This window comes from Homo sapiens, chromosome 5 (assembly GCF_000001405.40).
Source record: "Homo sapiens chromosome 5, GRCh38.p14 Primary Assembly".
Lineage (NCBI taxonomy): Eukaryota > Metazoa > Chordata > Mammalia > Primates > Hominidae > Homo > Homo sapiens.
Genome location: NC_000005.10, coordinates 148,627,517 through 148,654,702, shown reverse-complemented (window position 1 = coordinate 148,654,702; position 27,186 = coordinate 148,627,517). Strand labels below are relative to the sequence as shown.

Sequence of the window (27,186 nt, the reverse complement as noted above, 5' to 3'; positions counted from 1 at the left end):
GCATAAGAAGGAAGTAAACTATACAGGGATAGGATTTCCCTGGCACAGACGCCACAAACGCTTTCATGTTTATTATATTTGAATAGAGGAAGTGGGCACTCAGAGAGGCTAACCAACTTGTCCAAGGTCACCCAGGAGCCTGCAGTCAGCCCAGGGCTCCTTCCTGCCCTCCATCAGATGAGCAGCGCTCCGGCCAGGGAGGGCGCGTGCTGGCCAGCCCGGAACGGGTGAGATCGCTCCAGCCCGCCTCTGTGCCCACTCCCCTGTGCGCCCTGCCGGCAGAGCGGCACCCCCGCTGTCCCTGGCGCCCAGTGGGGGCGGCAGCGGGCAGGGCAGCGGGGACCACCGGGGCTGGGGGCTGTTGAGCCCGTGGAGTCCGGCTCGGTTGGGGAGAAGGACGATGCGCGGCGAGCCCAGGTGATCCGGGGCTGGGGTCCTGCGCCCGCAGCCCCTGGCCCGCGCCTCACGCTCGCCGGCTCCCCAGCGCGGGGGCTGGAGCCCGCACCCGAGGGGGCGGCAGGGAGGGCGCAGGCAGCGGCTGGGAGCGCAGCGGCAGCGGCGGCAGCAGAAGCTCGGCTCAGCGGCTGGGGGTGGCCGCTCGAATCTGCCAGGGCACCTCGCTCCCTCGCCTCTGGCAGCGGGTATGTGCGGCAAGTGCGCCGGGGGTCGGGACCCCAGGAGCCCACGGGTGCCGGTGGGGACGCGGCGGGGGCGGGGCAGCACGACGGGGTCGGGGGCTTGGGGGTTCTGGACTCAGGACACCCGGCTTTGCGGCAGGGTGGGCTTCGGGGCGGCTCAGGGTGTAGGTGGGCTGGCTGGTTGTATACAACGTGTTTCCAGCGTGGGATCACTGTAGGCTTGGGGCTGGTGCTTTCCACTTGTGTATGTAAGTACTTGTGAAACTGCATGTGTGCTCACTGACTATACAAGGGAGGTTGTGTATGTAAAGATTTGTGTGTGTGCGTGTGTGTAAGAGAGAGCGCGCACAGGCTGTGCATCCATAGCCAAGTGTGTAACTGGATGTGTGTGTGGACTCTATGGCTGGTCCTTGATGTGCAGCCCAGAGTGTGCTGTGTGTGTGTGTGTGTGTGTGTTAGAGAGAGAGAGACAAGATAGTGTGTCTTGAGCGTCCACTTTGATGTGTGTGTATACGTAGCCATGAGTGTGTGGGTACGATGTGCTGCATAAAGCCTTGGCGGTCACTGCCGGTACTCGCAACCATCCTGCAGTTGCCTTTCACAGAATCCCAATCCCGATTTCAGATGCATTTCCTCACAGCTTGCTACCCTGTGCGGCACTGTGCTGTTAGTTGTCTTTGAAAGAAGTGGATGTTGGTACAAGGAAGTGGCAGCTGGCAGAGGTCAAAAAGTGGTAGGCATGAGCTTGTCTTCCTAGAGTTCAATGTTAAGAGAAAATCTTGGCTTGATTTCCATTTGGTCCAATCAAATGAAGAAACAGAATGTTTCTTAGGGTATAGGTTTGGCATGAACCAAAGGAGGCTTTTGATGGAAGGACACTGGTTCAAGTTTGCCCTCCCTGTCTTCCATCGCTGGGATGGATTCTCTGGCCCTTAAAGCTGTGGGTGACTGTGGTGAGCAGTAGTGGATATTTACCCTGTCCCTGGAATGGAACTTGAGCATCAGTGACCAAGGGAGATGTTGCTGCGTGCTCCTGGTGAGCACAGGTTTTGAAGGAAAAGGACGTGGGTGGTGGATGCGGTGCCCTGAAAACAAGGAAAGAGTCAGGGAAGGGATGAGACCTGCAGAGTTCTGAAGAGCAGCTCTCACCTAGGAAATATACAAGTGTCAGGAAAAAAATTAGTAAAAAGTAAACAGGTTTTGCAGCATTAGCAAGTCATTTCTTAATCATGTTTATTTTCCTCCTGCATTCTCATCTTAAAATCTCTCTTACGTTTGCATCATTCCCTCCTGTGGGAAATATCCTTATTATAATTATTATTATAGAGGAGAGCCACAGTCATCATTTAAATGCCAGGAGAACTGTAGCTCACTGAAGCTAGCAGGAGCTTCAGGGAGCATTTAGTTCAGTTCATATCGAGCAGAAGGAGGCCCCAGGGCCCAGAGGACAGTAGTGTCTCTGGTTCCTCTGAGTTATCTGGATTTCAGTTCTGATGCTGTTCCCTGTAGGGGCAAAAGCATCCTTGAAGCCAACAAATCAAATGTATATTCTTTCACCCTGCTCTTCTGGACCTCCCTGATTCTGTTCATCTCCTCATCTCCTTCCCCAACTTCACAGACTAAAGGACAGCACCTGAAACCCAACATAAGCATCCTGCTACCCCAAGACGCTTCCTGATTTTTCCACCTGTTATTGAACACCACCATCCTCTACATCACCCAGGCTGGGAACTGAAGTCACCTTTTTATTCCTCCTCTTCCTTCATCAGTAGCTGCCATAGTTTTCATCTATAGGCAGGTTTTATCTGTTTTTCCCTCAATACCTCTTAAATCTATTTTGTTTTTCTTTTTATTCCCACTGCTACCACGTTATCAGGTAAGACCCTTACTTGGGAATTTCTGGAGATAGGAATAGATATAGACTATGATCACTGAAAAAATGCAAAGCAAATACATGAATTGAACACCTTTGATATTATCACTGTCTGACAAGTTAAATTAGTTTTTTAGAAGAATCTGGATAATGACTATAGCATCATTGAGTGACATAGATCAAGTTTCTTTGCCTTTCTAAGTCTTAGTTTCTTCACCTGTGAAATGTGATGAATGATTTCAGCTAGAATCTAGCCACTAGATCATTTCCAAGGGTTCTTTCAATGCTAGAATTCTCTGATTGCCACTGATGTTCTTGGTTGTAGCAAGAAACATTTCACCTAATTTCTTATGATTACCTTCTGATATTTAACTGATCAATTTGTTGATATGAAAATTCAGTCTTCCATATCACTGCCTTTTTGAATATTGAAAAATATTCAATATTATTATTGAATATTTTTATTCAATAATATTATTCAATAATATTCAATAATATTATTAAGGTAACTTCACAGCATGCAGTAGTTCAGGATTTCTTGGCACTATTGGAATTTTGAGCTAGATGGTTCGTTGTTGTGAGGACTGTGCTCTGCATCATAGAATGTTCAGCAGCATCTCTGGCACTCATTAGATGCCAGCAGCAACCCCTACTTGGGACAACCAGAAATTTCTCTAGGCATTGCTAAATGTCCGGGGGGTGGGTGGGCAAAGTACCCCTCCTCCTACCACTCCAGTTGAAAACCACTGCTGTAATTCAAGCACGAGTCCTGTAACCTTGTACAGCAACATCTGACAACAAAGTTTTTAAATAAATAGATGAATTGCTGTGGTGCTAGCTGCCTTCCCACCCCCTTCCAACTTTACCATCCTCACACATTTACCTTTATCCCTCTTGCTTTTCACTGCCTTGTTGCTATGCCTGGGAATGCTCAACATGCTGCTGAAGGTTGAGAAGCATTTGGAAGGCAATATAATAATAATCTTAATAGCCCACATTAATCTAGACCTTGATATGTGCCAGACACTGTTCTAAATGCTTAATGAGAATGATCTTATTTAATCTTCATTAAGAATCCTATGAAAGAGATACTTCTGTTACTCTCATTTTAGCAATGCGGTAACTCAACCTTAGAGAGGTAAAGTAATGTGCCCAAGTTCTCTCAGCTGTGGAGTAGTGAAGCTAGGATGAAATTGTGTGTTGTCTGATTCCAGAGTTCATGCTCTGAACCTCCATATTATAGTGCCTTGCATGAATGGGATCTTGGTGTTACAGGGTAGAAAAGAGCTTAGATATCCTCAAGCCCAGTTGTATATCCAAGTCTGCCTCTAGAAAACAGGCTAGATACTATAAGGTTGTGAGTTGTGTTCAGCTGAAATGTGATTTCTCTCATTTTTATGACTTTGCCCCCTCTCTGTTATTCAGAAATAGCTCAAAGGCATATGCAGAGTGAAAGGGGTGGTGGCAGTGTTGGGTAATGGAAAAGTGGGGAGGTGCAGGGGAGAGGAAGGATGGAGGAAGGAACAGTGAATTATACCTTTATTTTTCCATTAACTTCTCCTTACCATCAATCTAAAATTTCTTCTCTTGTCAAAATTAAAGTCACCATTTTTTTTAAAAAAAACTCTGTCTTTATTCTTCTTGGTTTGCCCTTTGATTCCTCCATTCTGCATGCTGTTGACTTTTTTATGCTATTGAGACAGTAGAAAGTAGTACAGATTTGCACAGAGGGAAATACAATGTAAATGGCTACCAAATAGACTTATTCATAGGGCTAGCCTTAAGTATAGTCTGAGTAAGAATGACTGCCTTACCATTTACCAATTACTAATATGCTTGCAAATCTAAGGCACGTCTGAGAAGGTTGACTATTTTTTTTTAAGTGCTATGTCAACAAGTTCACAGGTTTGGTAACTGCCAGTGAATAAATGATAGAGCACTGGCTTCACCAGCCTCATGATTGGTTAAGAGAGTGCTTCTCAAACTTTCATGAGCAACAGAATAATTGGATTGTTTGTAACACAAAGGATAAATGGCTGAGGGGATGAATACCCCATTTTACATGATCATGATGTGATTATTACACATTGCATACCTGTATGAAAACATCTCATGTACCCTACTATGTACCCACAAAAATTACAAATTAAAACTTAAAAAAAAAACACAAATTGCTGGTCCTCACTCCCAAAGTTTCTGATTCACCTAGGTTGAGATCTGAGAATTTACATTTCTAATAGGTTCGCAGGTGATGATGTTGTTCCTGGTCTTGAGACCACTATTTGAGAACTATTGGGTTAAGACCTAAAGAACGAAAATGAAACTCACAATGCAGCCACCTGGATTTTTAGAATGAAAATATATCTGATTTTAAGATAACTAAACATTTGGATTAATGAGAATCAATGAGTGGAACAAGACTGAAAGGTCAATAATTACTAGGGATGAATTGACATTCTTACTAAGCATCTAAGCTTTGCCTCTTATTTTGAGTTTCAGAAAAACCTTTGCTTTTTCTCAGCAATTGTACTTCTAGGTTGAATTAATTCTGGTCTTAGATCTTGTCATGTTCCTTGTCTCCACCTACCCCCACTGCTACCTTAATTTGGATGATAAAATTCCTCATTACTTACAGAGTAATCCAAATCAAAAGTCCTTTAATATCTTGTCTACTGCCAGATAAATTCTGAAGAGTCTAAGTTAAGAAAAATATATTATCTGTCCATCGAGTTTGTATTTCTTCCCCTTTCAAATCCACATTAGCACTATGGAGAAACCCAACAGAAATTTAAGTCTGCATATTTATGTAGAATTAATTTAATTTTTGATATCTCAATCAGAAAGTTTCTTTTAAAACCAAATTTCAAATTCAATGAACTCCTTCCTTCTTCTTGAATATTAGCTTCTTTTTTTTTTTTCATGATCACACATTCCCCATCCAAGCAAGGTATCTCTAAGCACTTACTCAGAAAGATCTGTTCTGAAACTCAGATTTAATTTAAATAATGTTTATTGAATATTTATCATATGTATGTTTTGCACACCTAGTCTTTGATTTTTCTATCAACTCCTGAGAGAAGTATTGTCTCTCTCATCTACAGATGAGAAAACTAAGGCCTAGACACTTTAAGAAAACTTTTGTATTAGTTAGAAGGCTAGGTGTATTAGTAAATGTATTTATTGGTTATACATAATAAAAGCCAACACTGGCTACTTAAACAAAAAATTAGGATTTATTGAAAAAACAATAGTGCTTTTATAGTGGAGTTAAGGAACTTGGCTCCAGGAAGGATGGGAAAACAGTCAATTCTAGAAAACTCAGCTCCTGGAGTCCATGACCCTTTCCACATTGCTCTGCCATTAGTTTGACACATTCCCAGGAGTCTGTTCTCTTAGTTCAGACTCTCAAGAAAGAGAATCTGATTGGCTCAATTGTTTATGACCAAGAAGTCATAGCAGAAGCATAGTTGCCACGGGCTCATCCTTGTGGTTGCGGTAAATTTTTCCAATGGCAAGTGGTGTAGTGGATGCCTGAATAAATGTCCCCTCCTATCACACAACTAGTATGGCAAAGACAGGATTTAAACTCAGATTTGACTTCAAGACCAGTATTTTTCTGCTCTGAAAGGGATGTTGGATGGAGAATCACATACTGTGGCTTGTAATAGAGACAATCTGCCTTTCTTTTTGAGGTTCCTGCACATTGGGCAACCCAGACACAACATCCTGATCCTTCCATTCGTGCACCTCTCTTGGACTCTGATGCTTCAGTGGGCACATCCTGGCTCCTCTTTGTCCACCTGGTTTCTGTGTCATGTGGCCTGGCTTCTCATTCTGCTCATGTTTGTCACATCTGTTCACCTAGCACGACTCTAACTCACAGATTGTATCCCATCTTCTACCTGCACAGTAGATCATCATTGCTATTGCCAAGCACCTTCCATGAGCATTGCTGAGAGCTCTGTGTCTCATTTAACTTTTCTAAAAACTCTGTTGTTGCCCTTTTTGAGGCTTATTTTCCAGTATTTTATTATGAAAATAGATACTTAAGGGAAAAGTTGAAAGAACTATATAGTGAACACTCGTATAGTCACCAAAAAGATTCTATAATTATCATTTTACCACAGTTGCTTTGTCATATTTCTGTCTATCTATTCACCAATCCATTCTTTGGACAATTGCAAAGTTGTTGTTTCTTATTCTTATTTTTATGCTGAGGAAACAAACCAAGACAGGTGACCTGACCAGTCCAAGGTCACTCATGAGGTGGTAATTGGGCTGGGACTTAACACTGGCAGTCTGAATCCCCAAACCACCTTCTTCTTTTGTTTTGTTTTGTTTCTGAGATGGAGTCTCGCTCTGTCAGCGAGGCTGGAGTGCAGTGGTGCAATCTCAGCTCACTGAAACCTTCGCCTCCGGGGTTCAAGCGATTCTTCTGCTTCAGCCGCCCGAGTAGCTGGGACTACAGGCATGCAACACCACGCCCAGCTAATTTTTGTACTTTTAGTAGAGACAGGATTTCACCGTGTTGGCCAGGCTGGTCTCGAACTCCCGAGCTCAGGTGATCTGCCAGTCTCGGCCTCCCAAAGTGCTGGGATTACAGGCGTGAGCCACCACCCCCGGCCCTAACCACCTTATTAACCACTAAGCAGCTTTGTCTCCCCTGTAAGGGGAGAGGGAAAGACTCACTAAAGTTCAGGTAGTGGCAGGGCAATGTCCAGTGCCCAGGTCATCTGATTCTCAAGCTCTGGTAATTTCCATTACATTGAGCCACAAAAAATAGTCCACCTTCCAAGTAGTAGAGTTTCTTTGCTCCCCCAAAGATCGGCAGTTTTGGTATTTTACAATCTACCTTAGATCTCTGGAAAATCTGATTTTTGACACAGATGATTTCATAAAATGAATGCACTCTTTCTTCCTTCTCAACATTTCAAAATAATTTATGAAAATGACAGACTGAGAAATTACCATTTTGGATAACTTTTTGCATTGTTCAGAGGACTTTCACATAAGTTATCTTATTTGAACTTCATGAGTGGTAGCAGGTCTATAAGACAGGTGGGCTGGATGTCTTAACCACACTGAACAGCGATAAACCTGGGGCAAAGGGAGGAGCTCAAAGTCACATGATGCCAAGAGCAAAATTGAGCCTTAGTTAAAAACATATTGTCTTTCAAGTGCTGGTAGACATTCTGGAAGCTTTGAGAAGCTAAATAAGTAATAGTAAATTAAGCTGGGAGAGCTGAGATAGGGGATCATTGAGATCTGGGTTTTTTGTTGTTGTTGTTGTTTGTGGGATAACTTAGTAGTTAAAACTCTAGACTCTGGTCTGGAATTGCTTTGGGCAGCTCCTCTTTCCTATGCCTCAGTTTCTTCATCTGTGAAATGAGAATAATTGCAGAACCTCCTGATAGCGTGATGTGAAGGTGAATGAAGTAATGCACGTGAAGGGTTAGGTTCTTGGTCTGTTATAAAAATGTGCCATTGCTTTCCTTCTGCTTCTTCCCCAGGATCCCTTTCTTCTGTGTTAAATGGGCCCCTCTAAAATCTATGGGTATAGTTTTATTTTTTGCTCCAGGGGTTGGTTTAGAAACTTTTGGTAGGAGATTGTAGACAGCAGCCTTTGGGGAGGTGACATTTTATTAGTCTAGGAAAAATGTAGATTTTGCTTAAGAATTTTCACCTAAGAGGCTGTAAATAGCCTATGTCTTTTGAGATTGCACTGGCATGTTTAATTGGATATGATCATTAGCACATGATATCTGAAATGGAGAATTCTGTATAAATGGTTTCCTAATCCAGGAGGTTCAGAAGAAATAGCACAGAGTGAGGACAGCAGAGGTAAACATGCCTGCAGAAACCTTTCTCTTGGCATGCAGAGCAAATACTATAATCCAGGTGTCTCAGCCAATGAGGCATTTAAACAGATACAGAAAAATCATTAAAGAGGATTTCAGAAGGGTATGCTCACCTGGACAGATTGCACTCCATCCTTCCAGTGTCTCCTGAACTGCTCTCCAGGAATCATTTTCATCAGAATCACTGGGGCATTTATGATTCAAAAATGCTTTGAATGTGGCAGTGCCTGAATCTACAGTTTTCCATGTGATTTTTAGATATACTAATGTTTGAGAACCACTGCTGTCAACAGCATAATTCTGTAAGATTCAAAATACTAGTTGTAAAGAGTTAATTTAGCTGAAATGCAAATTTTGATTTGACCTGCTCCCAATTCCAGACCTCTGAAATCAGTAATGACAAGAACCTTTGGGCATTTTCAGGCTCAGTCTTCAGAGGCTTATCCTATAGAGAAGAGGAATAATTTCTGTAGCCACATCCCAAAGTAGGGGAGATGGGCCACTAGGTACACAGCTGCCTTTGTGAAGAAGCAGAGTAGGAAATATCTACCCTGCAATGATTGGGGCACAGGAAAGCTGGAATCCACCTTATTACAACAGCTGGTTAATGTCATACTGTGAACTCATTGAGCACCTGCTTTGTGAGTATTCATTTTCTATTTTTAAATTTTGCATCAACCTTGTGAGGTTTTTGGTATGTTTATCTCCATTATACAGATGAGGCTGCTGAGGCTAAGAGAAGTCAAGTAATTTGCCCAAGGTCATATTGGTAGTTAATAGAACTAGGACAGATTCCAGGGTTGTGGTTTGAATCAGGGGTTGGCAAACTATCTGGCCCACTGCCTGTTTTTGTGTGGCTTGCAAGCAAAAAAAAAGATGTTTACATTTTTTAATTGTTCAAGAAAATCAAAAGGAGAATAATATTTTGTGACAAGTGTAAATTACATAAAATTCAAATTTCTATGTCCATGTATTTAGTTTTATTGGAACACAGCCATGTCCATCATTTATGTATTGTTAATGGCTGTTTTCATACTACACAGCAGAGTTGAGTAGTTGTGACAGTGACCTTATGCTCTTGAAAGCCTAAAATATTTGGTAAATAGCCATTTACAGAAAAAAGTGCCACCTCCCACTTGAACCATTATGCCTGCATTTCTCAAACTTCAGCCATTTGAATTCTACTCCTTCATGATTCTTGCCACCTTTTCATACCATCTGGAACATTAACTGTGTGACATTTTTCTTTAGATCAATTAATTTTCCTTAAATAAATTTATTTTATAAAGAAACAAAAATGAAAGCGAAAACCAGTACCAATTGCAAGAAATAGAAGAAAACTGTAAAAACAAATACAATATACCAAGAACAGTGTATTCATATTAGATTTCAGCTAAATAGCTGGAACAGACAATGTTGGTGTTGCTTCATTTCCCTGCAGATCCCCTGACCATTTCTCTGTAAGCCATCAGACTTCCAATGATGGACCTGAAACATTTTTGGAGGGCTGCTCTCAGTCTACTGGAATCCCCTTTGCACACAAGCACAATAAATTGGGGGTGCCTGAGAATCCAAGTTCCACTGTGGATAGCTCTAACCAACAAATTGTGGGTGCGGGAGTATCCACATCCCACCTTCCTATCCCCTTGTCTGGAAGAATTCTGAGGCATATGTTTTACACCATTTCCCAAAGCTTCCCTGTGAGATTAAGCTTCAGTGTCTTAATAACACACATCTTATTGACTGTGTCTTATTCCATTTTTTATATTATTATTCCCCTATCAGTGTACTGGCACCTGCCAAATTAACAATGTGCATTTAGTCCTTATCATGAGATCTGCTTCTTGGGGTCCCAACTAAGACAATAGTGTTTCCAGCAAAAAAAAAAAAAAAAAAAAAAAAAAAAAAAAACTTGTGAGCTTGAGACCTATTCATCTTTTAAAAAGAGAGATTAGGAAATAACAGGAGGGTTTTCATAGAAAAACTAGCACCTATTTGAATCCTTTTAGTCAACATAAACAACAATAACTAAAACAGAAAATGAAAAGGGAGCACATTTTTTAACATACGACCTGATGAGTACTTAATGCTCTAGATACCTACTGCATAAGAACATATTCTTTCCCCGGGGGATGTGAACCACACTTTTGGAGAATTGCTGTTTTGCCGTGGTGGTTCTCAAAGAGTGGTCCCTGAACCACCAGCAACAGTAATATCTGTGAATTTGTTAAAATGTAGATTCTCCATTCTAAATCTACTACATCAGAAACTTGGGGTAGGGTCCAGGCTTTTCATTTTTACAAGCCTCCGGGTGATTCTTATGCATGCCTAAACTTGAGAACCATTGCTCTGCAATAAACAGCCCCTTAGTTAGTTCTGTTCTCATTGCATTCCTGGATTTCCTCAGAATTCAGAATCATCCAAGATTTGTTTCTTTCCCTCAAACGTGACTATCTGATGGCTTTCTGGCCTCTAAGCCTCCTACTGAGGTGGATCCTTTCACTTGCCAAGGCACATAGATCAATAATTGAACAGCACTGATGATTGAAATGATCTACCTCACAGTTAGTCTCAAACTCCTCCTGAGCCTTGCACCCATTTCTCCTCTGGAGCCACAAAGACAAAGCTAATTATTCCTTCTCTAATTATCAAGGAGAACTTTCAGATTATGCCATGCCATTTATTCTCAGGTGCTTGCTGATCATGTACTATATCTCTTTTCTCATAGAATTTGTGGTCAAATATCAAGTGAAATGTTAATCAAGTGATTGCAAAAGCACATAAATTAATGACTGAATCTTCTCTTTTTTTTCCCCACAAAATTCCCAGATTCACACTTAATTGGTCCTGTTTTCTTGGGATCTCATTGTATTCTTTGGGGGAAAAAAATCTCTGCCTTTGGGAAAAAAAACCTGATTTCTAGAAACACTAGATATATCCCATTCAGCACAACATGAAATGGAAGTGTATGTTACCCCTTTATTTTTCCTGTAATCCATTCCTTTTAACAAAAGGTTGCTTGGGTATGCCTTTTAAATATCCTTTAGTTGGTTAAGGGCTGTTTTATATAATAGTTTTTTGACAAAGATGCTAAACTTACCAGCTGTAATATGTTTATTTACCCAGCTGAGAAAAGTGTATTTACTTTTAAAAAAGTTAAAAACATTTTGCATCCTAATTGTACGTATCAGTATAGGTGTATTTCAATTATAATGGAATTGGCGTCCGTATTGGATATTCAGTTATGCAAATGAAATGGCTATAAACTTTTTATTTAGGACTAAATCTTTCTAAATGACTTAGTTCAAATGACATTTTTACTACCAGTGCTAATAAGATCCAGCATGTGAAAAGGCTTCTTTTTTTTTAAATCGTTTGTACACATTTTCACCTGTACACTGCAATTTAGAGCTCTAGGTAAACAATATGGTTTTTTTGGTGAGGGACTAATTTATAGGCAGAAATTCTTTTAAAGAGAATGTATCAGCTGATTAAGGTTAAAAAAAATTGCTAGGACAGCATCCTATAAATTCTGAATGTTTCCCAGAAAACAAAATCCAAGTAAATAGCCAAGGAGAGGATTCTTTTCTTCCATTTAGTGAGAGTATTTTCTTTGTTGCAAGTTTTCAGATGATTCGATAATTTTTTTCATACTGAAGGTCAAGAGAGTTTGGAGTACTAGGAAATCACGATCATCATGGAATTTGTAAGACTGCTTGTGGGTTGTTTGCTTGTGTGATCCTGATGGGATTGTGTGTTTTAGTGCATATGGCGGGTAGTAGGTTATAGCAGTGAGGTGACAAAGTCAACAACAAGCCTTTGGATAGGTAATTCTTATCCAATATCTGGCCTTACACATTTCTCTAACTTTTATTCTACCTATGGAACCTATTTGAGACATTCTACAAGTTTCCTGTAACTTTAGAGAAGTTCTAATTACTTGACATTTCTCCCTTGGGTTCATCCTCTGCCCCATTCCATTCTGCAGTTGGGAAAACTGAGATCATGAATAGTGAATAGACTTGCTTAAGAATAAGACAGTAGCAGGGTCAGGTGGAGGGCCTAGGTCCAGTGACTCCCCCTCCACTGGGCCATAATCAATTATTCCATTATGTCAGGCTCCCACCCTTGATTTGGCTATTAACATAATAATGTTTTACTTACTCCTGACACTTGTCCCAAAAGAAAGGTATTGGGATATGTCTTTTGATTTAACCCATGTAGGCATAGTCTATAAAGAAACACGGTCAATCCAAGCATAGTTATGCATGAATATCCATCCATGCAACCAAAACCAGAGAAAACAAAACAAAGTGGAGCAAAGCAAGCCGAGGTTATGACATAGCTCCAGGTTTGCAGATGTTGGCACTGTACCAGACTACATCGATATTTCATTCCAGTAGGTGGGGACTATTCACATGTGAACCCTGTGCTCACACTTCTTATAATAGAGATGCAACTACACACCTTCTGTTAACCATTAATGACTGTTCCACAGCAATATTTCAGATAATTCTGAATCAGAAACGAGGGTAAAGATGGGATGCACTTACCTTTGGGGTTTGCACTTAAAACTTGTGAAGCCAGAAAACCAAGGGTTGGAATGGTGTTGAGTGGCATAAATAAGATAAGCTCTTCCTCCTCCTAGTCTTATAAGGAAAAATCAGATTCTGAATATATCCGTGAAGAAAAAGAAGCTCAAGGGAATCTGATAGAGCTATATGTTGCTGCAATTTTACTTTTATGATGGATAAAATGTTTTGAGTAATTCCAGTGGTTTGAGCTTGTCATGCATGGTCATGAGAGACTATTGAGACATGCATTTGTACCTCACATTGGTAGAAGAGTTTGCTTAACTCCTCGCCCATCCCTTTTCCAGAACTTGCCATGATCTTTTTCCGATGATCTAGGACTGTTTCTCCGAAGGGGATTAGTATGGAGGGTATAATTTCTTGTACCTTAGTCCAGATGGTAGAGTACAGCGTGACTGTCATTAAAACACACTCACACCCCCAAACACATACACACCAGGTCTTAATGGATTTGAATTGGCAGAATTTTTAGAAGTGACACAACTTGTACCTGAGCATAGGAGATGCTCTGAGTTGATTGTGTTTTTAATTAGCTAGGCAGTGTTTTGTGAAGAAGCCAGAAATATAAGTATTCAAGATAAAAGCACTGGTTCCTTCCACATCCCCCTCACCCTATGCAATCTTCCCAGCAAGAGATGTTCCTATAATCATGGCTCTGATTAGTTCTCCCTGGTGAGTCCTGCAGAAAATAGTCAGGCATAATCAATTAATCAAATTAGGATAGGTACTAATCATCAACTCCTCCTTCCTCTGTTCCTTTCTCTCTGATAAAATGCATGCTATCTCACTGGTTTGTTGAAAGGCAATCATTTTAAATTTGCTCATTGGGTTTCAGTGCAAAAAATGTAACAATCTATATGCTATGAATATACAAGATTTTCCTTGTGTTGTAACATTTTCACATGCAGTTTTAATGATACAAACTTTAGGTTTTAATGGCTTTTAAAGCTGAAACTGCCCAGCTTTTCTTCCTTTTAATCTGCAAAACAATACAATATTGATTTTATTGTATATTACTCAGCATTCATTTGCTTGCTGACTGGAACACAACTCAAACTGGCTTAAGGAGGCAAAAAGAATTTGTTGGCTCTAGTAATTAGGACATTCAAGTGTAAAATTATCTTAAGACACTGCTGGATCTTAAGCCTCAAATTATGTAGTCAGGACACTGGCATTCCCTGTGTTGTGGCTCTGCCTTCCTTTGGGTTAGTTTTCTTCTCAGACAAGCTCCTCCCATGGGGTGGCAATGATGGCCACTAGCAGCTTCAAACTGTCTGACAACACCAGAGGAAATACAGAGTCTTTCTAGCAAAAATTCTAGGACTGGCTTTCCCTGGTCCAGCCAGTAAGCTAAGGGATTCTTGTTGCCAGGAATGGACTATTCTGATCGACCAGCCCTGCTTATGTGTTCATCACTGGAGCTAGGGATTGGAGAAGGGAAGAGGTGGTTCCAGTAAGGAAAATCCAGACATTATTCTCAGAGAAAGATGAAATAGATGGATGGACAGCAGAAAATTATAGTGGATGTTCACTTTCATCAGGATACTCTGTTGCTCCAGTGGGAGGACGTATAATAAGATGACAAGAATGATGTAAGCTAAAGCTCGAGTTTTGGAATTCATAGCCGTGAATTCTATTCCCAGATTGGTCAAGTGCTGCTGTGTATGACTTTGGCAATTCAATTACCCTCTCTGACCCTCAGTCTCTTCATCTATAGGATGGAGGTTGGACTCGGAGGTTGGACTCAAAGGTTGGAGGAGGAGAAAAAGGGCAATGTCTGGTACTTATTAACACGTAGTAAAGGGCAACTAATTAAGATATAATACTTTTGCTATTCTTTAAATTACAATATTCTATTCTGAGATGGTCCCCTTCCTCCCAGTGTGAAAGTCAAAAACTCCTAAGCCTCAGTTTTCTCATTTGCAAAACTAATGAACTACTTAGTTGACTCAATAAATATCTATGATGAGGACACAATATACCAGGCATTTCTCGAGGGCACTGAAGATGTCACAGTGATCAAGACAGTGTCCTACGCCCTCTTGAAATTTATATTCTAGTGAGCAAGACAGATCACAAATAAAGAAGCAATTGACTATATATATATATATATATATATATATACTGGGAAGAAAAAAATAGAACAGAGAAAGAGGATAGACATTTTTAGAAAATGGGGTGTGAAATTGTAGTTAGGTGTTGAGAGAAGACCTGTCTGAGGAAGTGATATTTGAGCGGCACCCCTAAGGAAGTGAGAGAGTAATCTACATGGTCACATTCCAGGGAAAAGAGACAAAGTGAAAAGGCCCTGAGATGGGAACCTACGGTTACGGCCCAGGAAAGCAGCAAAACCAGTGAGCTGGTGGGTGGGAAAGGGGAGGGGCATGGCTACAGTTGAGTTTGGAGAAGAGTGGGGGCCAGATCATGTAAGGTCTGGTTAGCTATGATAAGGAATTTGGATTGTATGCTAAGTGTGATAGGAAGCCACTAGAATTTTATGCAAGCAAGAAATGACCTGACTTACATTTAAAAAATATCATTCTGGCAGGAGACAGATTGGGGGTGTGGGTGAGTAATTCAGAGAAAGAAATTGGTGGCTTGGACCCAGATGCTGGGTCCAGAGGTGATGAGAAGGGTCAGGAGTAGGAATAATTTTCTTCCTTTCTTTTACTTTTTTTCTTTCTTTCTTTTTCTTGAGACAGGGTCTCACTTTGTCACCCAGGCTGGAGTACAGTAGCGTGATCTTGGCTCACAGCAGCCTCAACCTCCTGGGCTCAGGTGATCCTCCCACCTCAGCCCCCCAGGTAGCTGGAACTACAGGCATATATCACCACGCCCATCTAATTTTTTGTGGAGATGGGGTTTTGCCACGTTGCCCAGGCTGGTCTCAAACTCCTGGGCTCAAGCGATCCACTCACCTAGGCCCCCCAAAGTGTTGGGATTATAGGCATGAGCTACTGCCCCCGGCCAGGAATCATTTTCAAAGTAGAGAGAATGAGTTTGCTGATGGTTTGGTCTTAGGGTATGAGAAGAAGTTTTTCTGGTCTGAACCACTGGGTAAATGGTGGGCCATTTACTGAGATAGAGAACACTGGGGAAGAGCAGGTTTTTGTGTCGGAGATGAGAAAGGAAGAGTTTAGTTTGAAATGCTTTTTAATCATCCATCTTGAGATGCTGGATGGGCACTGTCTACACCTGGGAAAGTCTCAACGTAGGGATAAAATTTTGGGAGTCTACAGTGAATAGTATTGTAATTGTACTGTATTTTCAGCCACCAGATGGATGTGATCCTCTCAGGAAAAATTTTAGATAGACAAGGAAAGAGGATTGAGACCTGTCACTTCGATAGTTAGGGCTTTGTACTTGTATATTTCCAGCAAAATATTATTCTACATTCAAAATATAAAACAGACAGATGTGGACAGAGCTACTTTCCTTCAGATTAGGGGAGGGGGCTCAGAGTTCTGCAGGTGGAGCCTTTCCCATGCCTGCCCCAGGCCCAGAAATGCCCATGGGAGCTCCTGTTAAGTTTAGAGGATCTAAGAAACAAACATCGAAAAACACAGAGAGTCGAGGTCCTTTCCATATCTAGTGATCTGCCATTCTCTTCGTGGCTGCCAGCCACATCTGTTTAGCTCACCCTGGCCAAGGTGTCCAAGGGCCCAGGCTGAGTTTCATGGTTCTTTTATGTAGATAACAGATTTCCAGGTTCTTCTTGGTAAGATTCAACTAGAAAACTAGCAAACAGAACTATAGAATATCAGAGCTAGGAGTGAACTCAGAGATTATTTTTTTCCAATCTCTTCTCTTTACTGAGAAGTGAATGATGATGTTCAGAAGGAAAAGGGACTTGCTCATGGTGACCCTAGAAGAGACAGCCGGACCCTGCCCCTACACTTACTGATTCATCATGCTGTGGAACAGATGTGATGAAGATATAAAAATGCAAAAATGGAACTGAACAATTAGTAAAGAGGGTTGATTTTGTGGAGATCAGTGAATGCCCATCCATTAAAGAGTGTGAGGTCTTCTGAGGGTCTGTGATAGAGGAACTTTGGTAATTTGAAGTTAACTCTCCTTCGATTGGGAATTCTTAGCCTGGGGTTCCTGGATGGGCCTGGGATTCCTGGATTCCTGAGTTCAAGGAATCATGGACTCTCTGGAAAGTGTGCATGTGTGTGCATGCGTATCTATTTTTTTCTGGGCAGACAGTTCTCAAGAGTTTACTAGATTCTCAAAAGAATCTGTGATTTCCTACCCTTAAAATGATTTAAACATTTTTTTAAAATCCTCATAGGAACAAAATGGCCATTTTGGGCAATATACTATTTTAAGCATAAGAATGTAGCTACCTATCTTCACTAATTACTGTCCTAATGCAGATCATAAAAATAAGCCATGTTTCTGGAAAGAACATAAATAACAATAAATGGAGCAAAAAGAAGCACCCATATGTTTTAATCACAAAGCGATCAGTAGGGTGTAAATAAACCTTTTGTGACACTCGGCTGTACCATACGTCAATATGCCAAAAGCTTTTTGCTTTAGTATTGTTTATTAAATATTTCCACAAAACAAGTCATAATAGGAAGCAATAGTTATTTGAGTTTTTTAAAACAAGGACTTGTATTTTTCAATGCTGCTTTCTTTTATAACATCTTTTTACTTCCCCCATTTTAGGACCCTGTGGGCATTGAAATCCAACTCACTCATGCTTATTTCCTGTAATGGACAAACTTGATGCTAATGTGAGGTATGTTACCTTTCTGTACATATTGTGTTGTAAACTGAGAACATTTCTGCTATGAAGACTCTAAAAATCTGTTGTTGTAGAGTTATAAAGTTAATGGATGTGGATTTTCTTTGATGTTTCATATATAATCATGTTCACAGTACTGTTTGATTATTAGTGTTTTGTCATTTCTGTTTAAATGAAAAACGTAATATGACTGTAAACATTTCCAGCTTCCTATACTAAAAGTCTGCATTATGGAGATGATGTTTGAAAATAGATATTCATCTCTGTAATAGGAAGAAAGATGTATTTAAGTAGGGGTAAAAATAGCTTAAGAATATCTATCTGTATATCTAAACTTGAGACAAATTCACGTTGCTTTTTATAGCAGGTTCTAGTTTGTCCACTTCTTTTCTCAACTAGGTTATTATATTATGTGACATAATGGTTGCATGGTATAGTTACATAAAGCTAAATGGTTTTTGTTTCGTTTTGATTTGTTTTCCTGTAATTTTCTGCAAGCCTTGGAGATGAAATAGTAGTCTGACTCCTAGGGAAGATTTTCTTTTCGAAAAGATTGCTTTATTTGGCACAATCAAATAGTACAAAGAAAAGTGTATTCAATAAGGCCTCAATGTTATGAATTGGCATTTGAGGCTGAGAATTATCCATAGATATCAGTAGCTGGAATACATCCTAAAAAATACATTCTTGCTGTAATCACAAGAACTGTTTTTCATTCACTTGAGACCTCTAGAAAAGTATATTTCAGGTATAGATCAGGGGCCTTGTGCCTCTGCATTTGACATAGTAGAAAACTATCACAAAAGGAGCTGTCAAATATCTTGACAGAAACTCTAGTGTAATATGACTTGAGTTGCCAAGATGTACTGTCACCCCAACCAGGGAATTTCTTGAGGGTAGAATGTGTTTCATGATCCCTGGCAAAATCCCTGGTACATGGTGGGTATTTAATAAAGAGATGTTGATCAGTTTGTCATTGTTGTAATATATATATTTCAAATAAGGTTGTGTTCTAATACATATAGATATACAAAGAGACTGTATTTTTAGCAATAAAACATTTTACACTCTCAATAAAAGTGTGTGGACTTTGTTATTTCCCAGATGTACTGACTTGGTTCAGAGTCTTAGGACATTAACATAGATTATTTAGGCTGGTGCCAGACCTGGTGCCAGGTCTTTAATTTTCCTCTAAAGTTTGTGAAATTATTTGCCCAGAGAAAGCAGAGTGAAATGCAGAGAATCTCAATTTTATTTTTGTTAATTAAAAGGCCAGAGTGAGCAATATCAATGGTGACACATTATAATATTGTTTTAAATTTCAGACACTGTATCAAACTGGATCAGTTGGTTAAAATGTACTTTTGGGGGAATAATTCAGATATTATGAGCTGTAACATTTCTAGCTTTTAAACATTTATTTATAGCAGCATTAGATTCTAACAGCAGAATACAATTTGATTAAATGGACATTAGCCATTCTCCTGGGTGCTGTGGAACAATAGTGCAGGATACAAGATGATATCACGCCCCAGAATCTTGTCTCTGGACCATCTTCTCTGTCAGTTTTCTAACCAGATCCCATCAACATATGTTTCTCCTCACCCACTCCCCCTCTCTATCCACAATATTAATAACAGGCAAATGCCACAGACTTTCCCTCATGTCCTCTCAGTACAGCCTTTGAATGTCCATAATAAAAGATGTTTTTAGGCTCACATTTACCAAATTGTGATGCATGAATTGTTAGGAATACATAATGAATTTAGGTGGTATGCCAACAATATTTTTATTTTAAAATCAAATGTTTATTTTGAGGTTACCTCCTTAGGATGAGTAATAATATTTTGCCACTTATAATAGTGAAAAATATTTCCTTATATGATTAATTTATTTAAAATGTAAATGTAGGTTTATTTTTAAAAATATTATGCATTTTTATATTAATTAATAAGGGAATGTTAAAAAAATCACAAGGGTATTATGCAAATGACTAAAGTCTAGACACCCTTTTTCTAGGTGTAATTAGCAAGAAGAAATTTTATTATTTTAAAAGCATGAACCAGAAATTCTTCTTTGATAAGGGATGTCCCCACTTGGAAAAGTGCCTACATAAGGTGAGAATTGAAAAGCCTGGGTTTCTAGCCCAGGAAAAGAATCCTTTTACTTGCTCTGAAGATAGAAGAAAATGAATGGAAAAGGGAGGAGTTTGGAGGAGACATGATTCAGAGAAGGAGAATCTGGGCTCTGTTTGGGAAGGGGCAAAACATTAGTTGTAAGGGACTTTGAGAGTACAGTTGCATATCTTTTTGTTTTTTTTCTTTAATGTGTGTGCTGACTTCTCCGAGGACTCAGTCCTTCAGGAAAATTTTCTAGCTTGGCTATGAATTCATGTTGAATGTTTCTTTTGTTGAATGTGTGAGCTCAGCATGGGCTATAAACTAGTATTATCCCATTTAATTTTTAAAGCAGTCCTACAAGCTCCATATCATTATTATCCCTATTTTACCATGTGTGTCAACTGAGACATAAGGAGGTTGAATAACTTGTTCAAGGTCATAAAACTGCATTGCCTTCTTTTATATGATATTTTATTTCAATACATATGTGCATGTGAATGTTTGTGTGTGGGTCTATGTATACATTGCTGAGATGTCTGACATTCCTGTGTTGGTAAATGGGGTTTGGAAGAGAGGATGCCTATGTGAGAATGGACACCCAAAAGGAACAGGATGGCAGGAGACTGCAAATGCCCTAGAGAGATTTCAGAAATCTCAGAGAAGGCTTTAGACTTCCACAAGCTCTAGAATTGAGGGGCTCCAGTCAATTTTCCCCAGATGTCAAGAGACAGAGTGGTCCTAGTTGACATTTTCTATTAAATAAAATGTCTTACAGTTAAGTGTTTTGTCCGGCCATACTGCTCACTTCATTTTTGTTTGTTTGGCGTCATTTAATTGAGTTTTCTAATTCAGCTTGGTCCTTGCTACAATGTGTCTGTCAGCATCCTTGACTAAAAACATCAGAAACTAACTCTGGCTAACATAATCAAAGGTAATTTGGGAGTAGTTACAGTGTACAAGCTCAAAGAATTACTATGAAAAATGCTGGAGGACCAGGATTAGACATAAAAAAGAACTTTGGGAGTTCCAGGAAAGTTAGAAAATGCAATCATGGCCAACCACAGGAAGAAATTGTCAGTAGATTGCCTTTATTTCTTTACTATAAAATAATTAAGCACCTACACTTTGTGTCAGAAAGAGGGAGACAATTTCCTGGGCTTAAGGATCTCACTGTGTAGCTAGATGACAATCACTGAACTAAAGTATTTAATACGGTGATAAAAGAAAACCAAACACCGCATGTTCTCACTCATAGATGGGAATTGAACAATGAGAACACATGGACACAGGAAGGGGAACATCACAGTCTGGGGACTGTTGTGGGGTTGGGGGAGGGGGGAGGGATAGCATTAGGAGATATACCTAATGCTAGATGATGAGTTAATGGGTGCGCACACCAGCATGGCACATGTATACATATGTAACTAACCTGCACATTGTGCACATGTACCCTAAAACTTAAAGTATAATAAAAAAAAAAGAATTCTAATAGTAAGATACATACAATGCGCTATGTTCTCTGTGAACTATAAGGTAAAATTAAGAAAAGTCATACTAGGTCTTGATTTTAGCAATATGAGAAGCATTATAAGCATTTTCCTCTTAAGAGTCTCCATAGCAGAGAAAGCAGTTGATGCAGGATGGATTGAATCATGATGAAAAGCTGGCAGTGAATCAGGCCCTGGTTGGGGAGGCAAGTTCCTGATGAGTCCTGTCCCTTGGTAAATAGTGTCAGCCAACTTAGCAGTCAACAGGCAGCTCTTTCCAGACAATCTGACACCCACCTGATCTGTTTTATTGGTCTGTTTTTTCCTCCTCAAGGCTCCGGAGGAGGCAGCTGCATTTTTTTTTGAAGGGTTGAAGAAAGAAAAATGGAAACACTGGCTTTGATGATTTTGCAGCAGATACCCTGTAGAACATCTTTGGCTTGTATTTGGGGAATGAGCCTTGCTGGTGCCTCACCCTACTTAATTCAGCCCTAAAACACTTAATGCCTGACTTCAGAAACAGCTATGCTTTTGATGTTGTTTAACTACCAGATTCTCCCGGCTGACACGTGGTTTTCCTCAGTTCAAGTGTGATCGCTAAATGCAGTTCAGGTTTCTGTCTCTTTTTTCTGGCTGTTTATTATAATTTGAAAGTTTCTGCTTTCTAAGAAATTTTTTCAATCAATTTCTTTTTAAGTTCCAGAGAGTACAATGTTCAGACAGGAGATAAACAGGTGAAGGAAAGTCCATTTGTATATAAACTTGCACTTGGAGGTTTCTCAAGACAATGCCTCCAGGCTTTGAGCAGAGAAAAAGTTTATTTTATGTCTTGGTTCTTTTTAACGGTAGCTTCTGCCTACCCTTGACTCACCTCCCTGCCCCATGAGCTCTCTATCCTCTTGCTTCACTGACCCTGCAGTCCCTGGGGCTTCTTCCTTCTTTAATAAGAACAACCTCATTTAAGGATCGGCTTCTTCTCCACGAAATGACTGTTGTGCTTTCTTATTAATGTTTCTCATTAGCAACCAGAAAAGCATCTTATAGGATTATGAATCATATAAATGGTAGCATTTTCCGCCCTTTGCTAGGGTTTCTAGGAAACTGAGAGACAAATTTATAATCACCACTAATAAGTGTAGAAGATCTCTAGGTGTGTACAATGGCTCTAACAAGCCTTTACTATATTTTCCAACCCTTTTAATCGCTTCGTCTTGTTTCCTTTGCTTTTTAAATAATGTATTGATCATTTTTGTAAGCCACTTTAAGGATGTAAAGGAAGAAGGAGGAAAGTGAGAAAGAAATCCAAGAAAGAAGAATTTTCCAGGGAAAGAATCTTTCTTTTTGATTCCTTTGGTAGGCTTGATGACGGTACTAGGGAGCCACTAAATATTTTTTAACTGAAGATCAAACTGGCAAGCTTTTATACACAACACAGAAAATCTGAGTAAATACCAAAAGTTGAATAATTTAAATATAAAATACATAATATTTATATAAAAGCAGTCTCCTGCTATACACATGCAACAACATTAATTAAAAACCATAACAAAGTGAGTAGTTGGCTTCAAATTAATTACCTAGTTGCCTTAATTCTGTCATGACACCAAGTCACAATTCATTACTTTAGATCAAGAAATTAAATGTATTGGATATCAATGTAACTACAAGAATGAATTGAAATTTTCCAATCTTAGCAAACAGAAAAAGATAGAAATTTTTTAAACAGAAAAGTTGATTTTGGGGTTGATTAATACTGGTAAAAATACACATTATGCTTCACTAAAGCCTGAAATGAAATGGTAATTTTTAATGCTGAATATTCTAAAGCCTTGAAATAATTTATAGAATTTAAAAAATCAATGTGTGTTAGTTGTTTGCCCTAAAGACTTATCGATGTGGAATTGATTTGGAACTGGAGTCAATTCATGTTTGTAACCTGGCAGTCAGAATTGTGAACATGTGCAACTTTAAGGCATTTAGGTGTTTTGCAGGAAATCTCTCTTCAGGCTCGGAAATTGTGACATTCGTTAGCATATAAGGAGAAAGTGAGTGGGTACCATTTAAAAGGGGTTATTTTTATGTTGCTTTAGAAATGTAAATGAGAATAATACTCAACTTCACTGCTTGACTGACAAAATGGTGACTATTCAGTTAGTACTTTGATTAGATCAGGAATACAGTGAATATGAGCTGGGACTCATCTTGTGTTGAAAACCCCTGTGCCACTTGGGGTTATGGGGAACCTCAAGCTAGAGGCATCACAAACTACTAGAAGGAAGAAGATACATTTATATTTTGAAAGCAATGGCCTCTTGCAATGTGTGAAATTTTCTGGTTATGGAATTAAGCTAGTAATCTTCTACATATACGTGATCCTATACATCTTCTGAAGCGTTCCTAACAGAACTTCAACTACCAACACCATGGGATGCTGGAAAAGTAGGGTTTATGGAAACAGAATAATATAAGTTCAAGTCTTGACTTTCCCATTTACTGGCTGTATTACTTTGAAGAATTTATGTAATCTCTCTGAGCCTTCAGTTTTGGTGTCTGAAAATGGGATTTTTCTTAAGATTACAGGTAATCTTCAGAAAAACATAGGTAAAATTCTTAACATAGTATTTTGCACATAGTATGCATAGAGTAAATGATAAATGTGTCTTTAGTCATCACGAGTATCATGAGAGGTAGATATTTATTACCCAAAAACTGATAATTAATTACTATAAGCTATAAGTTTCTTGATTGTTTCAATTTAGTATCCATCTACTTACCTGGTTGACCTTAATGATCAGTTATTAAATTGTTTGAATATTTATCCCTGACTGTACCCATTCTCTGGTGAGGAAACAAAGGCTCCCAAAGATGACAGAAAACCTTCAATATTGGAGCTAATAAGTGGCTTAGTTGGAATGAAACCACTGGTCTTCTATACCTATTTAGCACCATTTTCTCTTTTCTCTGCAGCTTCCATGGACTTGGACACAGTTCTGTTTGGGAATTGGAGCATCTGGGTTAAGATCTTGTGTCTCTTTGACTCCTGGTCTTGTGCTGGATTCCATACAGCCAGCTCTCCTTTATATGCAATCATTCCCTTGATTGGTGACCCCTGTTTACAAGAAAATACCCCTGACTTATTTCTTTCTGCTATTGTATTTGTCAGTGTCCAGGCAGGAAAATGGAAACTGTTGTATATATTTTAAGCAAACGGAGATTTAGTGCAGGTCACAGAGCTCCATGGCAGAGCAGGGAGAAGGAGATGTTAAAGAGGTCAAGAAGCCTCATGATCCTCCTTGCTGTTATGGGTCTGCTGGAGGCACAACCATTGCCACATTTCTGGAACCATTTGCTGTTGCTCTTACTGCTTAAAGCACCTCCAAATAGAGAAGAAATATACTCCTCTTTCTCACCTCATCGCCCAAATTTCCATGTTGAATCTCTCATTTGGAAAACATAACCTGAAGCCAGTGGGCAAGAAAGTCTGAAAAATATAGTTTTCAGGCTTCTGGCTCTCATTGATTGATATAAGTGCATAAAAACTGTGGCAAATAACAGATACAGCTTCCCCACTATATAAGCTTGGTTTCTTCTGGAACTTACTGCTGTGGAGGCTGCTTCACCCGGCTTCAGAAACCTGAGGGTGCAGATGTGACGGCATTAATATAAGCATCTGAGTCTCAATCTGCTTGACTGCAGGAAGCTCAGTCTTTTGTGCAGTTTACCTTGTCCACCTGTTTTAGAGAATTTGGTTATTACTGAAAGGGGTGCTCCCAAGTGTCCTGACTTTGTTTTGCTTGCCAAGCTGAACCTCTGCAGCCTCCAGCTCTATCAGTTCCACTGAGGCATACTTTGAATTACAGCCTGCTAAATGAGCAGTCTGTAGGCCTCAAAGCTTCCCCCTGGACTTTAGTAAAGCAGAAGCTCCTTGATAATGAAAATCCACATCATTTCACCTGTGAAGTGAGAAGAGTATGCCTTCCATGTCATGCTTGATCAAAGTGGGCCCCATACTAAAATTGCTTGAGATAGAAGTATTTCAGAAGCAAGCATTGTAGCATTTCAAATTCTCAGACCTAATCTTGTTCCCTGGAACACACAGAGGGTAGTGTTATGATGAATTTTAGTATCAACAGTTACATGTTCTCAGAATTATTATTGACCTGCATCGTTCTGGGTCTGTTGCTCAGTCAACCCTGGTGTATCTGGCTTCTTTTCTTATGACACCTTGTTATTCCTCCCTGCAGTTTGCTTCTTTTATTACCAATCTTTATTTAAATGTCACATTTTAATGAGATTTTTTACATAGTTTATTAGGACTTGTGCAAATCAGCGGATGCAAATAGCTTGGCAAGGGTAGAGATATTGCCTAATTAAAAAAAAAATTGCAAGATCTTTATGACTCTCAGCTCAAGCCCAGTCAGAATTACCTCTGTACCTAATAGGATTACAGCATGGTCTAGATGGAAGGGTCACTTGGATTCCTGTAAGACTGTGTCTTTTTGTCTCACTTTGCAAGCACAGGCTGTGATGAGATTCAAGAAACGTGATTGAAGCTGTGAATTATTTACAATTTCTTAGAAGCTCCTTTCTATAATTTGGAGCCTTGCCTATGACTTGTAGCTTCTTGCAGTCCTACAAAGCACAATTTTTGTAAATAAAGAAATAAATATCTTTATTTACAAAAGAAATAAAAAGAGTTTCAGAGGATTAAGTGATTTTTCCTCAGCCTACACAGCTAATAAGTGATTAACCTGAGACTAAAATCCAAGTCTTTGCTTCCGGAATCACTGATTTTTTCAAATTATCTCCCAACTCTCCAAAGACAAACTATCTCCTAAGGTATATATAATTTAGATTAAAATGTCACTCAACCATGACAATATCTATGAAAATGGATTTCGACAATAAAAGGAAAATATCAAATCACTGTTGTTTGATGCCTTGAACATTTGATAAGAAGGACTTGCTATGGTTCAGACATTTCTCCAAACATGTGACCTATCTGATCTCACTGATAGTGGCCCCAGCATTACATATGAAGTAACCGAGGCAGAGAAGAATCATTATTTTGCCCAAAGGCACATTTCTAGAAAGAGGTGAAGCTAGTATTTTCACCCAAATTTTTGTGATATCAGAGCCTATCCTTTGAACTTCAATGGTTTGCTTTTCTAAAGATTTCTATGTGGCAAAAGGTCTATCATTTGATATTTTAGACTTGGGTTCTCAAACTGAAGGCCTAGCAGATATGTTCATTTGGCCTGTCCAGGGTTTTAAAAATGGATTAAAATCCTTTTAGGGAAGCTGGGCACTCTGGAATTTACCAGAGTCGTAACTGTGAGTCCCTGTTGTCTGAAAGGAAGCCATCTTGAACTATCACATTACCTTTCATAGCCACAGCGTACAGTTGTTCAGTGTGCAATCTGCCTGCCTGGCCCTGGAGGGCTTTCCACCTTATCACTTACATTTTGAAAACAGTGGTAAAAATTATCCTCAACTTTGTAGAACCATATTATGACTTTTAGTACCTGCTATTTTCTCCCAGGAATTCTGTTTTATTACCATTTAGCAAATAGGGTTGTGTTAAATTTCAGACATTTTTTCAATTGGAACAGATTTCTAAATAAATATCTGCTAAGTGATTACCATTTTATCAGTCAGGTAATAATGTTCAGGCAATGTTCTTATTTGCATTTTTAAAGAATGTAAGAAGAATCTTTTTTCCCCCTTCTCTGCCCACTCACTTACTCCTTAGCTTGTAATGACTTCATTTAATTTCAAAAGGTTTTATACAACATACTCATCTTTGAATGTTCAATACTAATCATACCTTTGTGCATATCAAATATAGATGCGTATTTA

The 27,186-nt window shown here is 39.4% G+C and overlaps 1 protein-coding gene across 7 annotated transcripts in view; it reads left to right on the top strand.

Moving 5' to 3' along the window:
- The window catches only part of HTR4 (5-hydroxytryptamine receptor 4), a 203,496-nt gene continuing 176,485 nt past the window's right edge, over positions 176 to 27,186 (top strand). For 5 of the 7 annotated variants that reach the window (NM_001040169.2, NM_199453.3, NM_001040172.2 and 2 more), the window contains exon 1: positions 17,642 to 17,714. In NM_001040169.2, the coding sequence (NP_001035259.1) occupies positions 17,689 to 17,714 (26 nt within the window). In that variant the 5' untranslated portion in view covers positions 17,642 to 17,688. Of the gene's footprint in view, positions 642 to 17,641; positions 17,715 to 27,186 lie in introns of those variants that run through there. The other 2 variants (NR_104445.2, NM_000870.7) reach the window with 1 other exon arrangement.